Source organism: Homo sapiens, chromosome 10 (genome assembly GCF_000001405.40).
Source record: "Homo sapiens chromosome 10, GRCh38.p14 Primary Assembly".
Lineage (NCBI taxonomy): Eukaryota > Metazoa > Chordata > Mammalia > Primates > Hominidae > Homo > Homo sapiens.
In genome coordinates, this window is record NC_000010.11 from 1225990 (window position 1) to 1251339 (window position 25350).

Below are 25350 nucleotides of genomic sequence, written 5' to 3' on the forward strand. Positions count from 1 at the left end.
TATCCTGCAGAGTGTTTTCCAACTTGGTTCCATTCTCCCCATCACTTTCAGGTACACCAATCAGACGTAGATTTGGTCTTTCCACATAGTCCCATATTTCTTGGAGGCTTTCTTCATTTCTTTTTATTCTTTTTTCTCTAAACTTCTCTTCTTGATTCATTTCATTCATTTGATCTTCCATCACTGATACCCTTTCTTCCAGTTGATCGCATTGGCTACTGAGGCTTCTGCATTTGTCATGTAGCTCTCGTGCCTTGATTTTCAGCTCCATCAGGTCCTTTAAGGACTTCTCTGCATTGGTTATTCAGTTATCCATTCATCTAATTTTTTTTCAAAACTTTTAACTTCTTTGCCATTGGTTCGAATTTCCTCCTGTAGCTCAGAGTAGTTTGATCGTCTGAAGCCTTCTTCTCTGAACTCATCAAAGTCATTCTCCATCCAGCTTTGTTCCATTGCTGGTGAGGCACTCCATTCCTTTGGAGGAGGAGAGGTGCTCTGATTTTTAGAGTTTCCAGTTTTTCTGCTCTGTTTTCTTCCCCATCTTTGTACTTTTATCTACCTTTGGTCTTTGATGATGGTGATGTACAGATGGGTTTTTGGTGTGGATGTCCTTTCTGTTTGTTAGTTTTCCTTCTAACAGTCAGGACCCTCAGCTGCAGGTCTGTTGGAGTTTGTTAGAGGTCCACTCCAGACCCTGTTTGCCTGGGTATCTGCAGCGGTGGCTGTAGAACAGCAGATATTGGTGAACCGCAGATGCTTCTGCCTGATCGTTCCTCTGGAAGTTTTGTCTTAGAGGAGTACCCGGCTGTGTGAGGTGTCAGTCTGCCTCTATTGGGGGGGTGCCTCCCAGTTAGGCTACTCGGGGGTCAGGTGGAGGCAGTCCACCCGATCTCAGCTCTCAAGCTGCATGATGGGAGAACCACTACTCTCTTCAAAGCTGTCAGAGAGGGACATTTAAGTCTGCAGAGGTTACTGCTGTCTTTTTGTTTGTCTGTTCCCTGCCCCCAGAGGTGGAGCCTATAGAGGCAGGCAGGCCTCCTTAAGCTGTGGTGGGCTCCACCCAGTTTGAGCTTCCAGGCTGCTTTGTTTATCTAATCAAACAACTAACTCGGCAATGGCGGGCGCCCCTCCCCCAGCCTCACTGCCGCCTTGCAGTTTGATCTGGACTGCTGTGCTAGCAATCAGCGAGACTCCGTGGGTGTAGGACCCTCCGAGCCAGGTGTGGAATATAATCTCCTGGTATGCCATTTTTTAAGCCTGTTGGAAAAGTGCAGAATTAGGGTGGGAGTGACCCGATTTTCCAGGTGCTGTCTGTCACCCCTTTCTTTGACTAGGAAAGGGAATTCCATGACCCCTTGCGCTTCCCGGGTGAGGCGATGCCTCGCCCTGTTTCAGCTCAAGCACGGTGCACTGCACCCAGTGTCCTGCACCTACTGTCTGGCACTCCCCAGTGAGATGAACCCGGTACCTCAGTTGGAAATGCAGAAATCACCTGTCTTCTGCGTCGCTCACGCTGGGAGCTGTAGACCGGAGCTGTTCCTATTCGGCCATCTTGGCTCCTCCCCCTAGATCCTCATTTCTAAATGAGGATGTGCTTTAGAAAATTGTTCAAGTGAATCTTTTATTTTTAGGGGAGAATCAAAAGGAATTGGAGACAAACAACAAGAGGTTTGTCCCCTGGGGAGCTAAAGATTTATCTAAAAAGCGATGCATGGTTGCTACCATCACAAGGGGGAGAGAGAGCACCAAAAATGAAACAAACCACAGGCATGAGAAAAGAAGAAAATATTTTTAAACACCAAATAAATTTTAGATTTTCAAACTGTCTTCAAAAGGCATATCCCAGAAAGTCTGCCTGTGAAGCAACCTAGTATTCATTGTAATAATAATATCCACAGAAGTTACCATGTGTCCACGTGGGTGCACTTTGCCATATTTGATTGATGATGATGATGATAGTGATGATGCTGGATTATAAGGCCATTAAAATTCATTATCCTGCAATGCACGGATATTATCATATTTTGCATATTTCTGTAACTCAATGGGAAAATCTGAAGCAGGAATTTAAGGAACTGTATTTTATATTCCCTGACTTCCTATGGGATTTTCGTTAAATCTCTTCAACTACCTTTCTAGTCGTTGAATGGAATTGGCTTAGAACAAACGTACTAGGCTCATAGCATGTACTTGTAGGTAAATATATGACATCATCTATTTTTCTTGGCATTTTCTGGACACAGACTGGAGAATTTAAGCTGCTAAGTTCTCAGAAAATGGCTGTAAGAACTGAGTTTACCAGGTTATTTAAAAACCATGCCAAGAAAGAAGAATTTGCAGGCAGGTCGTTGGTGGGTTGGGAGGAGAGGAGCTGCTCAACCACAGTGAAGTACAGAGATCCTCATCTTCTGCTCCATCTGGGCTCTTTCAGAACTGCCTGAGTTCTATCCCAGGCCTCCCAGGGCCACTAAAGGACCCGTCGCCCTCGTGAGTCTGTGCTGACAGCAGTCATTGGAACCCTGACTCTAACATAGACACACACAGCATGTTCTCCTGGTGTGGGAATAAATGTCTTTCAGGCATTTGTCCCTGCCTTAACTGACCTGGCCCCTCTAGGTCCAGGGGAAAGCCACAGATGTGGCAGTTTTGAGTCGCTTGAGATGAATGGAGTAGCCCTGGGTCACATGACATTGAAGACTGAGTCTGCGGTCTCTGTCGCGAAAGCAGCTTTCCCCTCGGTCGCATGCGATGCACCACGAACACTTTTCATTCCTGCCTGTGATGCCACAGAGCGGGGAGTCCAGCCATAAGCTCTGCCTGGCCTCTGCAGACAGGCAGGCTACCAGGCCGTCCATGCCTCCAAGCCCTTTCTACAAAGCCAGCAAGGAAACAAATGCCCAGTCTGAAGAGATGATTTAAGGAGTTCAAACCTGCTGGCTCAAAACCCGACCTGTGCTCAGAAAACTAGAGTCTTGGATGCCCCTCTGCCCCGAATGCATCAGAATCTCGGCCAGAGTGCATGGGGTGAGCTGCATTGGTAAACACTGGCCTGGGACCCTGATAGATAAGCCAGAGCTGGAAACAACAAACTTGAATGCCTTCCGAAGCTAGCAGGTGACACAGCTCCCAAAATACCTGAGACCAATTGGCATTGATACCATGTCTGAGGCCTCCAGGAATGGGGAATTTATGATCTAGACAAATGTTTTTGAGGGGAAAAATAAAATAGGGCCATCTAGAATTTCTCGAGCCACATGCATCCCAGGAAAGTGGGGCTGGATGGCAACCCCAGGGCCCTTGTGTTGTGTCTAAGACTTGGAGCCCCTGAGCCTGGGCCTCGGGTGGCTGGGGCTTGGGGAATTCCTGGTCCTGCTGAGCTGTTGGAGCAGGTTGCTGCCGGGAGCCAGCTGCTCAGCAGCCACCAGAGAGTCAGAAGTGTGCTCCTAGAAACCCCAAGTCAGACTCACTTCTCTCCTGGGCCTTTACATGATACTTACTATCATGATTATTTAAACCTATCTACAGAAATTTTTTCTTATGCCCTACTCTGTGTTCCTTCATTTTTAAAAGAAGGGGGAACAATCTTGGGCACCAAACTTCTTTTTGACTTAATCACGTCATAGTTATATTGATAGATCTGATGCATCAGATACGTGTCGTGTGCTTGTGTGTGCACATATGCTTATGTATGTGTTTGTGTGTGCACATGTGCTTATGTATGCGTGTTCATGTGTGCACTTGTGCTTGTTTGTATGTGCACGTGATTACATGTGTGCACATATGTGCTTCTGTGTACATGTGTTTATGTGTGTGCGTGTACATGTACTTATGTATGTTTTTGTGCACATGTGCTTACGTGTGTGTGTGTGTGTGTGTGTGGGTATATATGTGTGAGAAAGGGAGAAGTCTGGCACAGTTGAGAGAGGGGCTAGCAGGCGTGGCCACTGTGGAGATGCACAATCGCTCGATGCAGGCCAAAGGGGAGACTGAGGAAGGGATGAGCTCAAGTGACCAGGACCAAGCACTGTGCTGGTGAGAGGAGACATGGCAGGTCCAGAAGGGGCCAGAGGCAGAGAGCACTCGAGAAGACTGAAACCTCTGTGCAGAGTCTCCTTCGGTTTCAGATGAGCTCCTCTGGCCCCCAGCAAAGGTCTCGGTGGAGGGGACTGAGCTCTCTGCACTCTGCGGCCTCTGCATTTGTGAGAATAACATCATGGCCCTCAGGGCTTCCTTTGTTCCCTGGGCTTCTTTTGGGAATGTGGTCCTCTGAATTGGAGGGGCAGTGCCGCTGGGTTTCTGCAGGGTTAATCCATAGGAGGGAGGCAGTGCCAGCTGCAGACCTCTGGGAACAGTGCAAACTGGATGTGTCCAGCTCCCGCCGCCAGCCTTTCCTTTGGGGGCTTGTCACCATCGACACTGCCCTTGGCTAGCCCTGGAGGAGCCCCTCACAGCAAAAGCCTGGCCACTGGCATCCCCTTATCCATGGTCCAACCCTCTTTAAAGGGTAACAAAGACATACACCGCCTGAGTTAGCAACGTGGAGACCCCTGCCTCTTATTGTAAAGGAGCTTAAAGCATCTCTCTGCAGGGGAAATGGCAGGAGTTGTTCCTGAAGGTCTCTGCCTTCCTCAGGCAGTTCAAAGGATGCAGAGCCAGCTCTCTGAAGGGTCCTTCCAAGCAGAGAACAGCAGGAACTTGAGTTCTCCTGCCTTTACTGAGTGACTTTGGCAGATGAGTCCCTGTTATAGGAGAGTTCACCAAGTACCTTCCTTCTCCACGCTCTCCAGATGGGAGAGCGGAGGAGTGGCACCAGCCCAATGCAGAGGCACAGCACAGGCAGGAGTTTCTCAATTTTGCCTGGCATATCTGCTGCAAAAATGTGAGAAAAATGCTTTATTTTTTCTCCTACCAGCACCTGCCACTTCTTAAAAGCACCATGAAATAAAAGACATCTGTGTCTGGAAGTGAACCTCAGGGTGCCTCGGAGAACGTATTTGTTTTTCTAAAGCACAGACATTGCAGTAGAAAGTGAGGGCTGGCTGGAGAGGCTGCAGTTGGTGATCGATGTACAGAGATGTGGGAGGCCCAGTGGACTAGAACTGTCCCCTGGGGAGACCACGGGGTCTCAGGCGTGGACAAGGCTCCTGCTGTTCTCACTCAGCCCTCTCCCAACTCCCACCAGGGACATATTAGCCAAGGAAGAGGCTGGATAACTCAGCACCAACCCCAAGCATTTGGCGGGACTTTTCCTCTCAATTCTGAGGGTTCCTAGCTGGGTCTTTACGATGCCAACCCTTTAAAGAAGAATGGAAAGATAATTCCCAGTAGCTGTCCAATGGACCAGATTTCACAAAATTCCCAATAGCTGTGCAGTGTACCAGATTTCACAGTTTTATAGGGTGAGCTGGTATCATGTAGCTCTGGCTTGCTGAATATGTCCAGTGAAAATGAAGCCACTCCTGGTGGTTTTTCTGTCTCTCTCTTCCTGAGTTGGCCTGGTAGTGGGGGGTGCCCTGTGTGATCTTGTGGGGCCACACTGGGCTCCCTTCCCTCTGGGGAGGGCTGTGTCCACTTCTCAGGTACTCAGGCTGCCCCTGCCTCTCTCTCCCTACTGCAGGAAGTTCCTTTAAAAGTCCCTGAGGTTGAACAGGCTTCCTTTTCTTCATTCCCAGTTTGACGGGATTCTCTCATTTAATTTCCAAAGGGTGTGGAAATACTACCCAAATTCAAATTCACTTACAGAGAACCCTATCCAGCCATGCCAGAGGATCCACTTACAGAGAACCGTATCCAGCCATCCCAAAGGGAAAGCAGTGGGGCTGGAGGGAAGTCCGCAAAAAGGAGGAGGAATGTTTCTGGGCCAGCATCCCATGTGAGGACTGCAGAATCAGGCTAAGCTCGTGTGAGATTAAAGACACCATTATCCCCACACCTTCTTGTCTTTGGTGGAGGCTGCATGACAAGCCTGACAACAGCAGGGCATAACAAAAATGCTTAATTTTCCTTACCTTGGTAATTAAACCACCATGTAGCCTTCCACCGGAGGAGAGTCAGGCCAAAGCCAAGCCTTAATAGCTGTGTGCTGTCCATGTATGTCTGCCAGAGATTTCCTCCCTCATCAGGACTGGACTCCTCATCATACACATATCACATACACCACACACACCACACACATAGCACACACACCGCACACACACCGCACACATAGCACACACACCACATACACCACTGCATTGCCTGCATTGAAAGATCTGCCTGGAGCTGCTTCTGGAAAGGGTGTGGGAGCATGTGAATGTGTGTGCGGTGTATGTGATATGCACGTGGTGTATGTCGTATACATGTGTGTTGTATATGCTGTGTGTGGTGTGTGTGGTCTGTGTGTGGTGTGTGTGGTATGCGTGGTATGCATGTGCTTGTGGCATGTGTGTGGTATATGTGGTGTGTGTTTGCAGTGTATGTGGTATGCATGTATGGCATATATGGCATGCGTGTAGTGTACATGCTATGCATGTGTATGTGGTATGTGCTGTGTGTGATGTGTGGTATATGTGGTATGTGTGTGTGGTGTATGTGCTATGTGTGTGGTGTGTGGTATGCATGTGGTATATGTGGTATGTGTTTGTGGTATATGATGTGTGTGGTGTATGTGGTCTGTGTGTGGTATATGTGGTATGCATGTGGTGCTTGTGACGTGTGTGGTATATGTGGTGTGTGCAGTGTATGTGGTATGTGTGTAGTGTATGTGACATGAGTAGTGTATGTGGTATGTGGTGTGTGTGGTATATATGGTATGTGTGTGGTGTATGTGGTTTGTGTGTAGTGATATGCATGTGCTATATGTGGTATGTGTGTGGTATATGTGGTATGCGTGTAGTGTATGTGGTGTGTGTGTTGTATGTGTGTGGTGTGTGTGGTATACATGTGTGGTATATGTGGTGTGTGTGTGGTGTATGTGGTATATACATATATGTGTGTGACATATGCAGATAGCACTAAGCAATAGGATTTCATCATTAAAATGAAAGAGAGGAGTTTCCCTGAAGCACCTTTTCTTTTATCATGGAGTTGCTGATGTCAAGGGTGGCTTCAAGGGAGAGCCCCACCCTGCCCCACGCCCTGCCCTCCGACCCTGGCAATCGCAGCATCACTGCCCTTTGCTGATGGAGAGGACAGAGGGGCAGGGGCTGCGTGGATGCGTTCTGTCTCACCTCCATCGATAAATGCTCACAGGGCGGGTTTGCAGTGGAACTTTATAGTTCACCTGGGGAAACCCCTTTGCAGGGAATCACTCATCCCTGGCTTGGTTGCAAAAGCTGAGCTTTTTTCCTCCCCAACGCTGTGAGCAAAGGCAAGCAGAGCCAGTGAGAATTTGCTCCCAGCCTGCGTAACTCTCACTGGCCTTCCCTTCATTCCATTTTCCCAGCCCAGGACACAGGGATTGTCTGAGTTATTAAAGCAGAGAACTATGGCAATTAGGTAGCTAATTTTAGGCCTCAGACTACTCTTCTGCCAATCACTTGAGCATTTCAGACTAAGATTTTGGAGGCATGGTTATCCCACTAATTGTAGACTCAATCCCCTTCCAGTACCCAAGGGCCCCACACACCGCGCCCCTGCCCTGGGCTGTGAAAGCCCAGGACAGAGTCCCAGATAGAGGGAGCTGGGGGCTGTTGGCCTACAGAAGGTAAAAGCATGGTCTCTTACGGTCTGTGGTGATCTCGTAGGGAGAGTGGAGTCTTGCGTCTCCACAGGGGGAGGTGCTCACGTAGAGATGGAAGAGGATGTTCTCTCGCAGCCGGTAGCCACCTTCTTTTAACCGCACGAATATCGATCGCTCTGAGTCCTCGCGCCGCTTGCTAGGGTCACAAAGAGGTTTGGGGTCATTTATCACAAACCAAACCAGAAATGTTCCAACCAGGTGAACGCTTGAGTCCTGTTTTGTAGAGTTGTTCCCCAAGTTTTCCTTTATATTTTTCCTTTTTTTTTTCCTTTTTTTTTTGAGACGGAGTCTTGTTCTGTCACCCAGGCTGGAGTGCAATGGTGCCATATTTGCTCACTGCAACCTCCACCCACTGAGTTCAAGCAATTCTTCTGCCTTGAGTATCAAGTGATACTCAGCCTCCCGAGTAGCTGGGATTACAGGCATGCGCCACCACGCCTAGTTCATTTTTGTATTTTTAGTAGATACAGGGTTTCACCATGTTGGCCAGGTTTGTCTTGAACTCCCAGCCTCAGGTGATCCACCCACCTCAGTCTCCCGAAGTGCTGGGATTACAGGTGTGAGCCGCTGCGCCTGGCCCCCAAGTTTCTCCTTCTTCACACCCCATAGTGTGTCTTTCCCCTGTACCAACACTTCTAGAACAGGCAGCAATGAAACTACGTGAATGCGAACATGACTGGCAGAAACCCTGCTTTCTTACCCCCGCCTTGACATTTACCTGTCAGGGTTATTATTATTCTTTTCTAAAGATAAGGTCTTGCTCTGTTGCTGCTCATGCTGGAGTGCAGTAGCGTGATCACGGCTCACTGTAGCCTCAGCTTCCTGGGCTCAAGTGATCCTCCTGCCTCAGCCTCCCGAGTAGCTGGGACTACAGGTGCACACCACCATGCGAGGCTAATTTATTTACTTTTTTTTAGAGACAGGGTCTTGCTTTGTTGCCCCGAGTGGTCTGGAACTTCTGAGCTCAAGCGATCCACTTGCCCCAGGCTCCGAAAGTGCTGGGATTACAGGTGCGAGCGACCATGATCTTTTTTTTTTTTTTTTTTTTTTTTTTTTTTTGTGACGGAGTCTTGCTTTGTCCCAGGCTGCAGTGCAGTGGTGCAATCTTGGCTCACTGCAACCTCTGCCTCCTGGGTTCAAACGATTCTCCTGCCTCAGCCTCCTGAGTAGTTGGGATTACAGGTGCATGCCACCATACCCAGCTAATTTTTGTATTTTTAGTAGAGATGGTTTTGCCATGTTGGCCAGGCTGGTTTTGAACTCCTGACTTCAGGTGATCCACCCGCCTTGGCCCCCCAAAGAGCTGGGATTACAGGCGAGAGCCACCACACTGGGCCCCACCATGATCTTTTACCAAGCCATTTTTTCCCACTGCTGTTCGCCCACATCTATCTGTCTACACACCTGTGATTCTGTGGATTTGCCAGTGCTGCTCATGGCCATACCTCACAGTGGACTGTGGGTTTGACGTAGCCTGAGTGGGCAGCTTGTGTGTGATTAAAAGGAGGAAAAGAGCTGTAGGAAGGCCTGGGCTCCGTCACCAGCACAGGTGGGAGTGGAGAACCGTGGCGAAACGGCTTTCCTTCTGCATCCAGCCATGACCCAGGTGGGGCGGGAGAGTTCCCAGCCTCTCTGATGGTGAATGATTTGCCTGTTGCAAAACTCCCACCAGCTGTGAAGCTGGAGCTGAGCAGCCCCACCTCTGCCCCATCGGAGTGGGCGCTGAACGAACATGCCTGCATTTCCTTCTTCGGTGTTTACCCTCTGTCTCCCGGTGTTTACTCCCCTCTCCCTCCCGGTGTTTACTCCCCTCTGCCTCCCGGTGTTTACTCCCCTCTCCCTCCCGGTGTTTACTCCCCCCTGCCTCCCGGTGTTTACTCCCCTCTGCCTCCCGGTGTTTACTCCCCTCTGCCTCCCGGTGTTTACTCCCCTCTGCCTCCCGGTGTTTACTCCCCTCTCCCTCCCGGTGTTTACTCCCCTCTGCCTCCCGGTGTTTACTCCCTGTGTCCTGGTGTTACTCCCCTGCTTTCAGGTGATCCACCCGCCTGGGCCCCCCAAAGAGCTGGGATTACAGGCGAGAGCCACCACACTGGGCCCCACCATGATCTTTTAACAAGCCAATTTTTCCCACTGCTGTTCGCCCACATCTATCTGTCTACACACCTGTGATTCTGTGGATTTGCCAGTGCTGCTCATGGCCATACCTCACAGTGGACTGTGGGTTTGACGTAGCCTGAGTGGGCAGCTTGTGTGTGATTAAAAGGAGGAAAAGAGCTGTAGGAAGGCCTGGGCTCCGTCACCAGCACAGGTGGGAGTGGAGAACCGTGGCGAAACGGCTTTCCTTCTGCATCCAGCCATGACCCAGGTGGGGCGGGAGAGTTCCCAGCCTCTCTGATGGTGAATGATTTGCCTGTTGCAAAACTCCCACCAGCTGTGAAGCTGGAGCTGAGCAGCCCCACCTCTGCCCCATCGGAGTGGGCGCTGAACGAACATGCCTGCATTTCCTTCTTCGGTGTTTACCCTCTGTCTCCCGGTGTTTACTCCCCTCTCCCTCCCGGTGTTTACTCCCCTCTGCCTCCCGGTGTTTACTCCCCTCTCCCTCCCGGTGTTTACTCCCCTCTGCCTCCCGGTGTTCACTCCCCCCTGCCTCCCGGTGTTCACTCCCCTCTGCCTCCCGGTGTTTACTCCCCCTCTGCCTCCCGGTGTTTACTCCCCCCTGCCTCCAGCCATGACCCAGGTGGGGCGGGAGAGTTCCCAGCCTCTCTGATGGTGAATGATTTGCCTGTTGCAAAACTCCCACCAGCTGTGAAGCTGGAGCTGAGCAGCCCCACCTCTGCCCCATCGGAGTGGGCGCTGAACGAACATGCCTGCATTTCCTTCTTCGGTGTTTACCCTCTGTCTCCCGGTGTTTACTCCCCTCTCCCTCCCGGTGTTTACTCCCCTCTGCCTCCCGGTGTTTACTCCCCTCTCCCTCCCGGTGTTTACTCCCCTCTCCCTCCCGGTGTTTACTCCCCTCTCCCTCCCGGTGTTTACTCCCCTCTGCCTCCCGGTGTTTACTCCCCTCTGCCTCCCGGTGTTTACTCCCCCCCTGCCTCCCGGTGTTTACTCCCCTCTCCCTCCCGGTGTTTACTCCCCTCTCCCTCCCGGTGTTTACTCCCCTCTGCCTCCCGGTGTTTACTCCCCTCTCCCTCCCGGTGTTTACTCCCCCCTGCCTCCCGGTGTTTACTCCCCTCTGCCTCCCGGTGTTTACTCCCCTCTCCCTCCCGGTGTTTACTCCCCTCTGCCTCCCGGTGTTTACTCCCCTCTGCCTCCCGGTGTTCACTCCCCTCTGCCTCCCGGTGTTTACTCCCCTCTGCCTCCGGTGGTTAATTCCCTCTTGCCTCCGGTGGTTAACTCCCCCCTGCCTCCGGTTGTTAACTCCCCCCTGCCTCCGGGTGTTAACTCCCCTCTCCCTCCGGGTGTTAACTCCCCCCTGCCTCCGGGTGTTAACTCCCCTCTCCCTCCGGTGTTTACTCCCCTCTGCCTCCCGGTGTTTACTCCCCTCTGCCCTCCCGGTGTTTACTCCCCCCTGCCTCCCGGTGTTTACTCCCCTCTCCCTCCCGGTGTTTACTCCCCCCTGCCTCCCGGTGTTTACTCCCCTCTCCCTCCCGGTGTTTACTCCCCTCTGCCTCCCGGTGTTTACTCCCCTCTCCCTCCCGGTGTTTACTCCCCTCTCCCTCCCGGTGTTTACTCCCCTCTGCCTCCCGGTGTTCACTCCCCTCTGCCTCCCGGTGTTTACTCCCCTCTGCCTCCCGGTGTTTACTCCCCTCTGCCTCCCGGTGTTCACTCCCCCCTGCCTCCCGGTGTTTACTCCCCTCTGCCTCCCGGTGTTTACTCCCCCCTGCCTCCCGGTGTTTACTCCCATCTCCCTCCCGGTGTTTACTCCCCTCTGCCTCCCGGTGTTTACTCCCCCCTGCCTCCCGGTGTTTACTCCCCCCTGCCTCCCGGTGTTTACTCCCCTCTCCCTCCCGGTGTTCACTCCCCTCTGCCTCCCGGTGTTTACTCCCCTCTCCCTCCCGGTGTTTACTCCCCTCTCCCTCCCGGTGTTTACTCCCCCCTGCCTCCCGGTGTTTACTCCCCTCTCCCTCCCGGTGTTTACTCCCCTCTGCCTCCCGGTGTTTACTCCCCTCTCCCTCCCGGTGTTTACTCCCCTCTCCCTCCCGGTGTTTACTCCCCTCTCCCTCCCGGTGTTTACTCCCCTCTGCCTCCCGGTGTTTACTCCCCTCTGCCTCCCGGTGTTTACTCCCCCCCTGCCTCCCGGTGTTTACTCCCCTCTCCCTCCCGGTGTTTACTCCCCTCTGCCTCCCGGTGTTTACTCCCTGCATCCCGGTGTTTACTCCCCTCTCCCTCCCGGTGTTTACTCCCCCCTCCCTCCCGGTGTTTACTCCCCTCTCCCTCCCGGTGTTTACTCCCCTCTGCCTCCCGGTGTTTACTCCCTGCATCCCGGTGTTTACTCCCCTCTGCCTCCCGGTGTTTACTCCCCTCTGCCTCCCGGTGTTTACTCCCCTCTCCCTCCCGGTGTTTACTCCCCTCTCCCTCCCGGTGTTTACTCCCCCCTGCCTCCCGGTGTTTACTCCCCTCTCCCTCCCGGTGTTTACTCCCCTCTGCCTCCCGGTGTTTACTCCCTGCATCCCGGTGTTTACTCCCCTCTCCCTCCCGGTGTTTACTCCCCTCTCCCTCCCGGTGTTTACTCCCCTCTTCCTCCCGGTGTTTACTCCCCTCTGCCTCCCGGTGTTCACTCCCCCTCTCCCTCCCGGTGTTTACTCCCCTCTGCCTCCCGGTGTTCACTCCCCCCTCCCTCCCGGTGTTCACTCCCCTCTCCCTCCCGGTGTTCACTCCCCTCTGCCTCCCGGTGTTTACTCCCCTCTGCCTCCCGGTGTTCACTCCCCTCTGTCTCCCGGTGTTTACTCCCCTCTCCCTCCCGGTGTTTACTCCCCCCTGCCTCCCGGTGTTTACTCCCTGCATCCCGGTGTTTACTCCCCTCTGCCTCCCGGTGTTTACTCCCCTCTGCCTCCCGGTGTTTACTCCCCTCTCCCTCCCGGTGTTTACTCCCCTCTCCCTCCCGGTGTTTACTCCCCCCTGCCTCCCGGTGTTTACTCCCCTCTCCCTCCCGGTGTTTACTCCCCTCTGCCTCCCGGTGTTTACTCCCTGCATCCCGGTGTTTACTCCCCTCTCCCTCCCTCTGGCGATACTCCCCTCTCCCTCCCGGTGTTTACTCCCCTCTTCCTCCCGGTGTTTACTCCCCTCTGCCTCCCGGTGTTCACTCCCCTCTCCCTCCCGGTGTTTACTCCCCTCTGCCTCCCGGTGTTCACTCCCCTCTGCCTCCCGGTGTTTACTCCCCTCTGCCTCCCGGTGTTTACTCCCCTCTGCCTCCCGGTGTTTACTCCCCTCTCCCTCCCGGTGTTTACTCCCCTCTCCCTCCCGGTGTTTACTCCCCCCTGCCTCCCGGAGTTTACTCCCCTCTCCCTCTCCCTCCCGGTGTTTACTCCCCCCTGCCTCCCGGTGTTTACTCCCCTCTCCCTCCCGGTGTTTACTCCCCTCTGCCTCCCGGTGTTTACTCCCCTCTCCCTCCCGGTGTTTACTCCCCTCTGCCTCCCGGTGTTTACTCCCCCTCTCCCTCCCGGTGTTTACTCCCCCCTGCCTCCCGGTGTTTACTCCCCTCTCCCTCCCGGTGTTTACTCCCCTCTGCCTCCCGGTGTTCACTCCCCTCTGCCTCCCGGTGTTTACTCCCCTCTGCCTCCCGGTGTTCACTCCCCTCTGCCTCCCGGTGTTTACTCCCCTCTGCCTCCCGGTGTTCACTCCCCTCTGCCTCCCGGTGTTTACTCCCCCCTCCCTCCCGGTGTTTACTCCCCTCTGCCTCCCGGTGTTTACTCCCCTCTCCCTCCCGGTGTTTACTCCCCTCTCCCTCCCGGTGTTTACTCCCCTCTGCCTCCCGGTGCTTACTCCCCTCTGCCTCCCGGTGTTTACTCCCCCCTCCCTCCCGGTGTTCACTCCCCTCTGCCTCCCGGTGTTTACTCCCCCCTCCCTCCCGGTGTTTACTCCCCTCTGCCTCCCGGTGTTTACTCCCCTCTCCCTCCCGGTGTTTACTCCCCCCTGCCTCCCGGTGTTTACTCCCCTCTCCCTCCCGGTGTTTACTCCCCTCTCCCTCCCGGTGTTCACTCCCCTCTCCCTCCCGGTGTTCACTCCCCTCTGCCTCCCGGTGTTTACTCCCCTCTGCCTCCCGGTGTTCACTCCCCTCTGCCTCCCGGTGTTTACTCCCCTCTGCCTCCCGGTGTTTACTCCCCCCTCCCTCCCGGTGTTTACTCCCCTCTGCCTCCCGGTGTTTACTCCCCCTCTGCCTCCCGGTGTTTACTCCCCTCTGCCTCCCGGTGTTTACTCCCCTCTCCCTCCCGGTGTTTACTCCCCCTCTGCCTCCCGGTGTTTACTCCCCTCTGCCTCCCGGTGTTTACTCCCCCCTCCCTCCCGGTGTTTACTCCCCTCTGCCTCCCGGTGTTTACTCCCCTCTGCCTCCCGGTGTTTACTCCCCTCTGCCTCCCGGTGTTTACTCCCCTCTCCCTCCCGGTGTTTACTCCCCTCTGCCTCCCGGTGTTTACTCCCTGTGTCCTGGTGTTTACTCCCCTGCTTCCTGGCCATCTACCTTCTGCCGGTCTTGCTGTTTTCACACGTTCTGCCCCATGGGTGATGGATTGTGTTCTGTGGGGCCCTGAGATCACACAGGCAACAGAACAGACATTTTCTCCACAGGAAGTCCTTGCGGCATCCAGCAGTCTTCCTGCCTCTGTGCCTGCACTCTGCCCACAGCCACCATCCCCCACTGCCCCGGCTGCCTCCCCCAGGACCCTTGGCAAATGTATCCCAAGCCTGGGCCCCGGCACAGGGCCTGTCAGCCACGTGGCTGCCCTGGACTCCCCCTCCCCTGTGCTGGTTCCCCATGCAGGGCAGGCGTCGGGTGCACCTGTCTGTGGACCCCCCCAGCTGGTGGCACAGCACCAAGCATGTAACCAGCTCCTGGTAAATATTGGTCCAGTTGCCTTCTCTGACACAAACAAGAGTGAGGGATCTTGGTGATAGTCCCAGTTGAGCAGGTGGACATTTAGGAGAAATCCTTCCCTACATTCTGAGATATTTCTGTTCCCCCATATCCAACTCCTGCTGCACCCCGCAGGCCTCAGGGAACTGAGGGATGGGTTCAACCTGTGGCTCCCTGCTCAGAGGCTCAGATAAGAATGAGCTGAGTGTGGGCTGAGCACAGTGGCTCATGCCTGTAATCTCAGCACTTTGGGAGGCCGAGATAGGGTGACCACTTGAGGTTAGGAGTTTGACAACGTGATGAAACCCCGTCTCTACTAAAAATACAAAAATTAGCCAGGCGTGGTGGTGAACGCCTGTAGACCCAGCTACTCAGGAGGTTGAGGTGGGAGAATTGCTTCAACCCGGGAGGCAGAGGTTGCAGTGGGCCAAGATAATGCCATTGCACTCCAGCCTGGGCGACAGAGCAAGACTCCATCTCAAAAAAAAAGAATGAGCTGAGTGTGTTAAGGTGTTGTTTTCAGCAGCGTCTGCTTAGGGCTACACGTGGGCCTTTCTCCTTTTGTGTGGCTTTTGCACAGCTAATGGGCATGGAGATGACCCTTGCCAAAGCCCCCCAAGGTCCCATTACTCGTAGATTTGAGGAACGCAGATGGCTTCAAGGGATGTGAAAGAGTAGACAGCAGACACAGGAGGGAGCGTTTCAGGAGAGGAGCCCACAGTGAGCCCTTGGGACTGAATGGCCCAGCCTGGGGGTGTGTCGCGGAGGCCACGTGCTGCAAACCACCTGGGTTTTGCTCCTCTCTAAAGTGTCTCAGGGACAGGAGGCTGCCCCATGACAGCCACCAATGCCTGATGGCCAGAGCAGGCCAGGGAACCCTGGGAATCCCAATACTGGGGCACAGTTCTCAAGGCCTCAGCGGCCTCTTCACATGTACTTGGCACAGGAGGCAAGAAGACAGCGCGTCTCCAAGCCACCCCTTGGGCACTGCACTCACGTTCTCTGAGGGCAACGGCGGAAAAGGGGGCAGTGCAGGAATGTGGGGGGCATGGGGAACCGAGGCCAGGAGAGGGTGGCCTTGCCCGGAAGGACGAGGGCTGCAAAGGTGTTTTCTGGAGGGAAACGTGGAGTAAGGAGGAAGCCTGGAATTTTAGCATCTTCCCAGCGCACACGGCGGCTTTATTGGTGTGCCAGGGATGTCTCTAGTCTGAATAAAAAGGGATGCTTTCTGGCTCACCCTGTGCCAGGATAGAGGGAAGCGTGTTCTGAGCCAGGCATGGGGCCCCATCTGCTCCCTGGCAGCCCCCAGCCGCGGCGTCCGCCTTCCCTGGAGCCCGTCCCCAGCCGCTCACCTCAGGTGCAGCTCCAGCTGCGTGTAGAGGAAGTGCAGGAACGCCCGCCGGGCCACGACCTCCGCGTGGCAGTCATTCACCACCAGCCCCTGGTCACTGAGGTGCTCGCCGCTGATGCACTTGGTCCCCGAGGACAGGGCCACGACCTGCGCCTGCCGAGCATCCAGGCCTGGGGACACAGATAGCATCAGAGCAGCGTGGCCCACGGCCCCCGTCTCCCTCCTCCTCGGTCTTTTCAGGGTCTCACAACAGCGGTTTCCCTGGGTTAGGAAACCTTGGAAACACTGCGTTTTGAGAGCTGGGAAGCGAGGCTTCTGTGTGCTCCAGGCTGTCACGGGTGACCGCCCGCCTGAGGGATTCCCATCTACTTCATGGTGGCCTGAGACAGCGCTCAGAGTGCCTCTGCTATCCTTAAGGTTGCTGAAATGCTCCTTAGGCACCATAGGAGCAGAGTTTTGAGGTCAAACTTACTACCAGGACAGTTTTCTCCACCTGAGTCCCAGGTCCCCTGTGAGTGGGAGCAGTGCTAGCTGCGGCCTGGGCTTCCTGCCCAACCTCTAACCACCTTTGTGCTTTCTCCTGTCCTCCAACGGGATCAGGGCAGGACAGGAGCTGATGAACCCTTCACCCTAACACAGAAACACAGGACAGGAGCTGATGAACCTGTCATACTAACACAGAAAGGAGGCTGGATGTGTCATTTTAACCATAGTCAAAGGAACCCCATCCACAAAAATGATACTCTCTTCAGGGACTGAAAACAAACAACAAAGAAACCTCAAAAACAACCCCCAACGTAATGTCCTTAAAGTATAATATTCATCACTTTGTTTAAGGAGGAGAAGCTGGAAGACACAAGCCAATGTTTGCTGTGCTCTAACAGGTCTGTGTGGATGTGTATTTTCTCTGCACTTAGATGGTGAATTCCTTGAGGACACGAGTCAGAATTTCCACCAAATACTCCAAGCAAGGGCTCCCTAGGGAGTCCGTGTCATTAGACGGGTCAGTGTTGCCGATCCAATAACAAATCCATCATCCAGGCCCTTCGGCTGGAGGTGGCAGGAATGTTGCGGGTGCCCAGGAGCCTTGGGATGTGACAGCCACTGGCTGGGCCCGGATCGCAGGCCAAGGGAGGGCAGCACGGAGACGCGTTAGCCGCTGACCGCGGCCACGTCCACAGAGTTACCTGTAAATACACGTCCGGACCATTTCTTGGAAGAGGTGACACACAAATTAATGTCACGCCAGAAGCAGGCCTCCCTCCCATCTTAAATAAAATCGACTAATTAATGTCACGCCAGAAGCAGGCTTCCCTCCCATCTTAAATAAAAACAGTGCTGGCTGGTCATGAGCGCTTCTCGCTTCTCACACACTTGTTCCTCTGATGTGACTTTTTCTCCCCTGAGAACTTAGTTCTTGAGCCCTGAGGGCATCTGCCCTCTCTGGGCCTCACCGTGGGATCTTTCTTCGTGAGATAAAAGGGTGGTGTCAGCAGCTACCAGTGACAGCCAGGGAGAATTCGGGGCCGGGAGGGACCGAGCACTGGGGAAGTAACCTGCAGAGGCCCAGCAGCATCCTTGCCCCCATGGCTCTGCAGCTGGGGTCTGTCTGTCCAGCCTCCTTCCTTCCAGGCAAAGCGGTCTAGCACAGCCCCCGCCTCCTGCCCATGTCCACTGCTCTCTCCGCTCATCCCAGCTTCTCCCAGCAGCCCCCGTTTCTGTGCCCGAAGAGAACTCCATGGTCCTGGTCCTGTTGTCTACCCACTGCCCCCTCCCTGGTGGGACGGGACTGCTCCTGAGCTCAGGAAGTGACCAGACTTCCCCACGCCGCTTTAATCAGAACAGGACACGACCAGCCGCCCTGAGGTTCCTCCCCCAGGAAAGCTCGTGAGCAGCTGCCGGGTTCCAGGTCCAGGCCTCCTCCTCTCTCAGCCATCCTGGGTGCGGGGGCTGCCCCCTAGCGGGGGTCCCAGAAGTTGACGAGCAGATGGGACCAGGATCTAAGGCTACAGGGAGCTGGGGTGGGCAGCTGCTACTGACTCTGCCAGGGGTGGGAGCCACCATCTCACTCAGGCCGTCAGTGACATGTGGACTGTTGAGAAATGGTTCACAAGGATGACATCGTGATGCAGAAACCACCCCTCAGGTTCCAGCTTCGTTAAAGCTGGTATTTAGAGAAATGGGAAACACATTGATAACGATTCCTAACCAGTTTCAGTGTTCACGACCGGTGCGCATGCAGTCTCTGGTGGAAACGGACAGCTCTTCAGGAATAGGTGCTGTGGCCTGTGAGGCCCCGGCCTGCTCCTTCTCTTTGGATTCCGTGGAAATTGGAGCTGTAGAAAAAAGCAACTGCTTTCCCTTTACCCCTCATTGATTCCCAGCTCCGTTTGGCTCCAGACTCTGCCACACTCAGCACAATTACGTGGCCCAAGAAGTGTTTGCATATTCAGTTTTCATGATTCTCACCCCCACCGCCAGCACCACGTTCCCAACACAGGAGACGCGAAGCCTGGACCGAGGGAGATGACGCGGTCAGAAACGGCTGCAGCATGAGATGTCGTATGAGAAATGTCGCGGAAGTGCTGTACATGGAATGTCACCAGCATGACAGTGAGGGAGGAAAAGGGAGAGACGGACTCACACCCAGGGAGCTTCTGCACAGGTGGCAGGAGGAGGCGTCCTAGGCAGAGTGGGCATGGTGGTCAGAGGCACGGATAGGAAAGGGCACAGGCATATTCTGCATAATCTGCGTATTCTACGGGCCGTTGGAGCCCGTAGGAGATGTGTGTGGGAAAGTGGCGAAGCTTCAAAGGTGGGTGGAAATCAGTCACAGACGCCTTGAGTACCACCCTGAAGATCTAGCTCTTCACCAATAGACAATGGGAGCTGTGAAAGGGTTTTCCGGAAGGACAGCAGTACTGTTGCCCATGAGTGAGTGCTGGGTTGCACAGGAGGAGAGAAGGGGCCAGGACACTGGGTGGGAGGCTGGGGCTGGACATGGTGCATGAGGACTTAGGAAGCACCCTCAGGAGTGGATTGGTGGGAGGGACCCAGAGAGCACAGCAAGGACCGAATCCACAGGATTTGGGAAATTTACACAGAAGATGAGGGAGAGGAAGAAGCCAGAAAATGTGCTTGAGTACCACACATTACAAATGAGAAATAGGAAGATTTTTATTTATTTACTTATTTTTTGTTTTTTCTTTTTCTTTTTTATTATACTTTAAGTTTTAGGGTGCACATGTGCACAACGTGCAGGTTAGTTACATATGTATACATGTGCCATGTTGGTGTGCTGCACCTGTTAACTTGTCATTTAACATTAGGTATATCTCCTAATGCTATTCCTCCCCCCTCCCCCCACCCCACAACAGGCCCCGGTGTGTGATGTTCCCCTTCCTGTGTGCATGTGTTCTCATTCTTCAATTCCCACCTATGAGTGAGGACATGCGGTGTTTGGTTTTTTGTCCTTGTGATAGTTTGCTGAGAATGATGGTTTCTAGCTTCATCCATGTCCCTACAAAGGACATGAACTCATCCTTTTTTATGGCTGCATAGTATTCCATGGTGTATATGTGCCACATTTTCTGAAACCAGTCTATCACTGATGGACATTTTGGTTGGTTCCAAGTCTTTGCTATCATGAATAGTGCCACAATAAACATATGTGTGCATGTGTCTTTATAGCAGCATGATTTATAATCCCTTGGGTATATACCCAGTAATGGGATGGCTGGATCAAATGGTATTTCTAGTTCTAGATCCCTGAGGAATCACCATACTGACTTCCACAATGGTTGAACTAGTTTACAGTCACACCAACAGGGTAAAAGTGTTCCTATTTCTCCACATCCTCTCCAGCACCTGTTGTTTCCTGACTTTTTAATGATTGCCATTCTAACTGGTGTGAGATGGTATCTCATTGTGGTTTTGATTTGCATTTTTCTGATGGCCAGTGATGATGAGCATTTTTTCATGTGTCTTTTGGCTGCATAAATGTCTTCTTTTGAGAAGTGTCTGTTCATATCCTTCACCCACTTTTTCATGGGGTTGTTTGATTTTTCTTGTAAATTTGTTTGAGTTCATTGTAGATTCTGGATATTAGCCCTTTGTCAGATGAGTAGATTGCAAACATTTTCTCCCATTCTGTAGGTTGCCTGTTCACTCTGATGGTAGTTTCTTTTGCTGTGCAGAAGCTCTTTAGTTTAGTTAGATCCCATTTGTCAATTTTGTCTTTTGTTGCCATTGCTGTTGGTGTTTTGGACATGAAGTCCTTGCCCATGCCTATGTCCTGAATGGTGATGCCCAGGTTTTCTTCTAGGGTTTTTATGGTTTTAGGTCTAACGTTTAAGTCTTTAATCCATCTTGAATTGATTTTTGTATAAGGTGTAAGGAAGGGATCCAGTTTCAGCTTTCTACATATGGCTAGCCAGTTTTCCCAGCACCATTTATTAAATAGGGAATCCTTTCCCCATTGCTTGTTTTTCTCAGGTTTGTCAAAGATCAGATAGTTGTAGATATGCGGCGTTATTTCTGAGGGCTCTGTTCTGTTCCATTGATCTATATCTCTGTTTTGGTACCAGTACCATGCTGTTTTGGTTACTGTAGCCTTGTAATATAGTTTGAAGTCAGGTAGTGTGATGCCTCCAGCCTTGTTCTTTTGGCTTAGGATTGACTTGGTGATGCGGGCTCTTTTTTGGTTCCATATGAACTTTAGTTTTTTCCAGTTCTGTGAAGAAAGTCATTGGTAGCTTGATGGGGATGGCATTGAATCTATAAATTACCTTGGGCAGTATGGCCATTTTCACGATATTGATTCTTCCCACCCATGAGCATGGAATGTTCTTCCATTTGTTTGTATCCTCCTTTATTTCATTGAGCAGTGGTTTGTAGTTCTCCTTGAAGAGGTCCTTCACATCCCTTGTAAGTTGGATTCCTAGGTATTTTATTCTCTTTGAAGCAATTGTGAAAGGGAGTTCACTCATGATTTGGCTGTTTGTCTGTTATTGGTGTATAAGAATGCTTGTGATTTTTGTACATTGATTTTGTATCCTGAGACTTTGCTGAAGTTGCCTGTCAGCTTAAGGAGATTTTGGGCTGAGACAATGGGGTTTTCTAGATATACAATCATGTCATCTGCAAACAGAGACAATTTGACTTTCTCTTTTCCTAATTGAATAACCTTTATTTCCTTCTCCTGCCTGATTGCCCTGGCCAAAACTTCCAACACTATGTTGAATAGGAGTGGTGAGAGAGGGCATCCCTGTCTTGTGCCAGTTTTCAAAGGGAATGCTTCCAGTTTTTGCCCATTCAGTATGATATTGGCTGTGGGTTTGTCATAGATAGCTCTTATTATTTTGAGATACGTCCCATTAATGAAGAATGGCCAAATTTGGGGCTGACCGATTTAATTTGGGGGAAAGGAGAGGGCGGGCGTCATCATCTCTCCCCTCGGTGCCATGAGGGTGATGAGGCATCAGGCAGCATAGTGAGGTGGAGAACAGAGCTCAGTAGCAGTTGAAGACTGCGAGCAAAAACGTGTCAAAAACAGAAACGGCACCAACCAGCATTCAGATAAACACGCTTTTCTTAACACCCCCATCACAGGGGACAGCGCGAGGGTGCTGCCACCATGGCGGGACCACAGGCAGGTCTAGGGCCCTCATACCTATGGGGAGAAATGGGGTCCTTGGTTTATGGGCATCACCCTCCAGGTATAAACCAGTGGTATTTGGGGCTGTGTCAACCCTGCACAGAGGTGTCTAACATTCTCCTTTTTCGGTGCTCTGGTTCCCCACATGGAGATCCTTGATTGCTGGGATGGGGGTGAGGCCATGCCAAGCCGTATGGACACCAAAAATGCTCTGCACTCAATGAGCAATGCTTTGTGTAAAAATGTGCCCAAAGCCAGGCCGCCTTGCAGCAGAGGCTGGGTCGGGGATGCTCCAGTAGGGGCTTATTAAGTCAGGAAGACAGGATGGGGCAGCAAAGACGCCAGGCGAGGGGAGGCTGTACTGAGGTCCCGTCTCCAGCTGACCAAACAGGAAGCTCTGGAGTGTGAGGCAAAGGTGTGCGACGTGTCAGTCATGAGCTGTGGGCACTCCCAGGCGTGCAGGAGGTGCAGGAAGACTTAGGAAGTCCTCCTGAGGTCCCGTCTCCAGCTGACCAAACAGGAAGCTCTGGAGTGTGAGGCAAGGGCGTGCAACGTGTCAGTCATGAGCTGTGGGCACTCACAGGCGTGCAGGAGGTGCAGGAAGACTTAGGAAGTCCTCCTGAGGTCCCGTCTCCAGCTGACCAAACAGGAAGCTCTGGAGTGTGAGGCAAGGGCGTGCGACGTGTCAGTCATGAGCTGTGGACGTTCCCAGGCGTGTAGGCTTCTGGTGGCTAGGGCCATTCTCAGGAGGAGGCTGCAGCTGTGAGCTGCTCCTGGCCGGTACTCGGAGCCAGGAGAAGATCAGGAAGCCCAGGATGGGGCGGCTGTGGTGCCAACAGCATTTACTCCAATCCTTCCAATGATGCTGTTAAGCCAATAAAATGCAAGTTTGTATAGAAGCATCACTCCATACATAGTGGCTATTGGTGATCTCTTTTCCTATAAATGGCTATTGAGAGTAAAACTACTACTCTGTAAGACAACATGAGAAGTAGTCACAGAAAATATACGAATTTCTATAGAATAAGTGGAAAAGCTGGCCAAACAGCAGGGCTCCTGCACCCCCGCCAAAGCACCAAGCACAGTGAGTTTTGTAGAATTCGACTGAACCTTCAAGTAGCAGATGGTTTCAAGGCAATTGTAAGTGTTCTGGAGCATATAAAGACAAGAGAAGCCTTCGGGTTGTGTGTTATCATGGAATGCCTAAATCATTGCCATACTGACGTAGCCTGCACAACAAAGCAGACAACAGAGGACCCTCAGTTAGACAAAATACTAGCCATCAAGTAGCAGAGGAAAAGAGCACTACAGTACGTCCCTGCAACATGGGCTTATTTCTGAAATGTGATAATCAGTTATATTAAAAAATTAAGGCCAGGCACACAGTGGTTCACACCTGTAATCCCAGCACTTTGGGAGGCTGAGGACAGTGGATTGCTTAAGGCCAGGTGTTTGAGACCAGCCTGGGCAACATAGCCAGACCCCAAGTCTACAAAAAATACAAAAAGTAGCTGGGTGTGGAGGCGTGAGCCTGTAGTCCCGGGTACTTGAGAGACTGAGGTGGGAGGATCACTTGAGCCCTGGAGGCGGAGGTTGGAGTGAGCTGAGATTGCGCCACTGCTCTCCAGCCTGGGTAACAGAGCAAGACCCTGTCTCAAAAAAAAAAAAAAAAAATGGATTTATATGCAACACAAAAATAGGCATAATTACAGACACTGATAAGGCATCTGACAAAATACAACAAATGCTTTTGATAAAACACTGAGTTTTTATCAAAACTCAACTCTGTCAAGTGGAACAGAGGGATTTTTTTCCTGAATGTGATTTTATGCACACACACACACACACACACACATACACACGAGTATCATGCTCTATGGGGAAGCACTCCAGGCATTTTTATGACCATTCAGGAACATCTGCTGCAGCCATTGACGAGCACAACAAGAGAAAGAAATTAGCTCTGTAGTAATTGGAGAGGGGCAGGTAACACAAGCACTGTCTGAACATGTTATGATTCTGTGTCTGGAAACCTCCAGAGAATCCAGTTGACATACTGCTAGAAACAATGAGAGAGCTTAATATGGTGAAAGCGTTCCAAGTTAATATACAGAAGTCAATAACTTTCATAGAGACACACAGCAACTAGAGAGACACTGTAAAGGAAAAATGACTCCATTTATAATGGCAGCAAACGAGATAATAGGAATAAGTTTAACGAGAAATGACCAAGGACTATAGTGAATAAAACTTAAAAATCCTATTGAAGGACACAACAAAATTTAAACAAACAGAAAGACTTGCCACATTTTTGGATAGGGAGGTTTAACATAATGAATCCTCTCTAAATTGATTCATAAATTTAACAGGATTCCCAAAGAAACAGCAATGGTGCTTTGTTTTGGACAAGACACCTGGTTAAAAAGTATAATTTTGTTTTGCTTTGCCATTGCTATGGCTTGGGTATGGTTTATTTGTAGCCAAAACTCCTGTTGAGATTTGGTCCTCAGTGTGGCGGTGTTGGGGGGTGATGGGACCTAGTGGGAGGTGTTTGGGTCATGGGGTGGATTCCTTATGAAGGGCTTGGTGCTGTCCTCAAGGCGGTGAGTTCTTGCTCTGGCAAGATGGATTAGTCTTCAAGGAAATGGGTTCGTTCCTGTGAGAGTTGGCTGTAATGAAGCCACGATGTCCCTTAGTCTTCAAGGAAATGCATTAGTTCCCATGAGCGTGGGCTGTAATGAAGCCATGATGCCCCTCTGGTTTTCTCTTTACAAGTGTCTGCTTCCCCCTTGACCTTCTCCATCATGTTATGATGCAGAAAAAAAGCTCTCACCAGAATCCACTGCCATACCCTTAAACTTCCCAGCCTGCAGAAGCATGAGCTAGATAAACCACTATTTTTTATAAAGTACCCAGTCTCATGTATTCTGTTATAGCAACACAAAATGAACTAAGATAGTTATTTGTTTTTAACTGGGCAAGCTGATTCTAAAAGGAAACCCAGAAAATTCTGAAAAAGAAGGCTAATGCTGGAGACAAGCCCTAGTGTACATCAAGCAGGTTATAGAGGCTCCATGCCAGGTCACTGTGGGGATGGGGTGTGAAGTGAAACAGGTGGAACAAAGTGGGGAGTCCAGAAATTGACCCAACACGTGCAGGAATTTAGTATAGGACAAAGGTAATCACATCTCAAACCACTGAGGCAAAGAGAGACTATCCAATTAATGGTATCTAACAACTGCATAGTCATCTGAGAAATAAAATTGCATCTTTATCTGACACCATGTACCAGAGTAAATTCCAAATTGATCAATGTTTAGATGTAAGAAATGAAGAACTGTATTTGAATGTTTACAGCATCTTTACCCATAATTGCCAAAACTTGGAAACAAGCAAGATATCTTTCAGCAGGTGAATGGATAAATCATGGTACATTCAGACAATGGAATATTACTCAGCACTAAAAATAAATCAGTTATCAAGCCATGAAAAGACATGGAGGAAAGTTAAATAAAAGTTAAGTAAAAGAAGCTGATCTGAAAAGTCTACATATT

At 51.6% G+C, this 25350-nt stretch overlaps 1 protein-coding gene across 1 annotated transcript in view, besides 2 other annotated features; it reads right to left on the reverse strand.

Moving 5' to 3' along the window:
* The window catches only part of ADARB2 (adenosine deaminase RNA specific B2 (inactive)), a 560213-nt gene that overhangs the window by 48677 nt on the left and 486186 nt on the right, over positions 1-25350 (reverse strand). The window contains exons 5-6 of the mRNA NM_018702.4: positions 16142-16310; positions 7705-7856 (exon numbers count right to left, since the gene is read on the reverse strand). Of these exons, the coding sequence (NP_061172.1) occupies positions 7705-7856; positions 16142-16310 (321 nt within the window). The remainder of the gene's footprint in view (positions 1-7704; positions 7857-16141; positions 16311-25350) is intronic.
* Positions 15621-16132: an enhancer, noted in NCBI's record as "H3K27ac-H3K4me1 hESC enhancer chr10:1283673-1284184 (GRCh37/hg19 assembly coordinates)". NCBI's record gives its function as "activates a minimal SCP1, AML or CMV promoter by ChIP-STARR-seq in naive H9 embryonic stem cells {active_cell/tissue: H9 hESC(naive)}" and the evidence as "EXISTENCE:reporter gene assay evidence [ECO:0000049][PMID:30033119]".
* Positions 16133-16643: an enhancer, noted in NCBI's record as "H3K27ac-H3K4me1 hESC enhancer chr10:1284185-1284695 (GRCh37/hg19 assembly coordinates)". NCBI's record gives its function as "activates a minimal SCP1, AML or CMV promoter by ChIP-STARR-seq in naive H9 embryonic stem cells {active_cell/tissue: H9 hESC(naive)}" and the evidence as "EXISTENCE:reporter gene assay evidence [ECO:0000049][PMID:30033119]".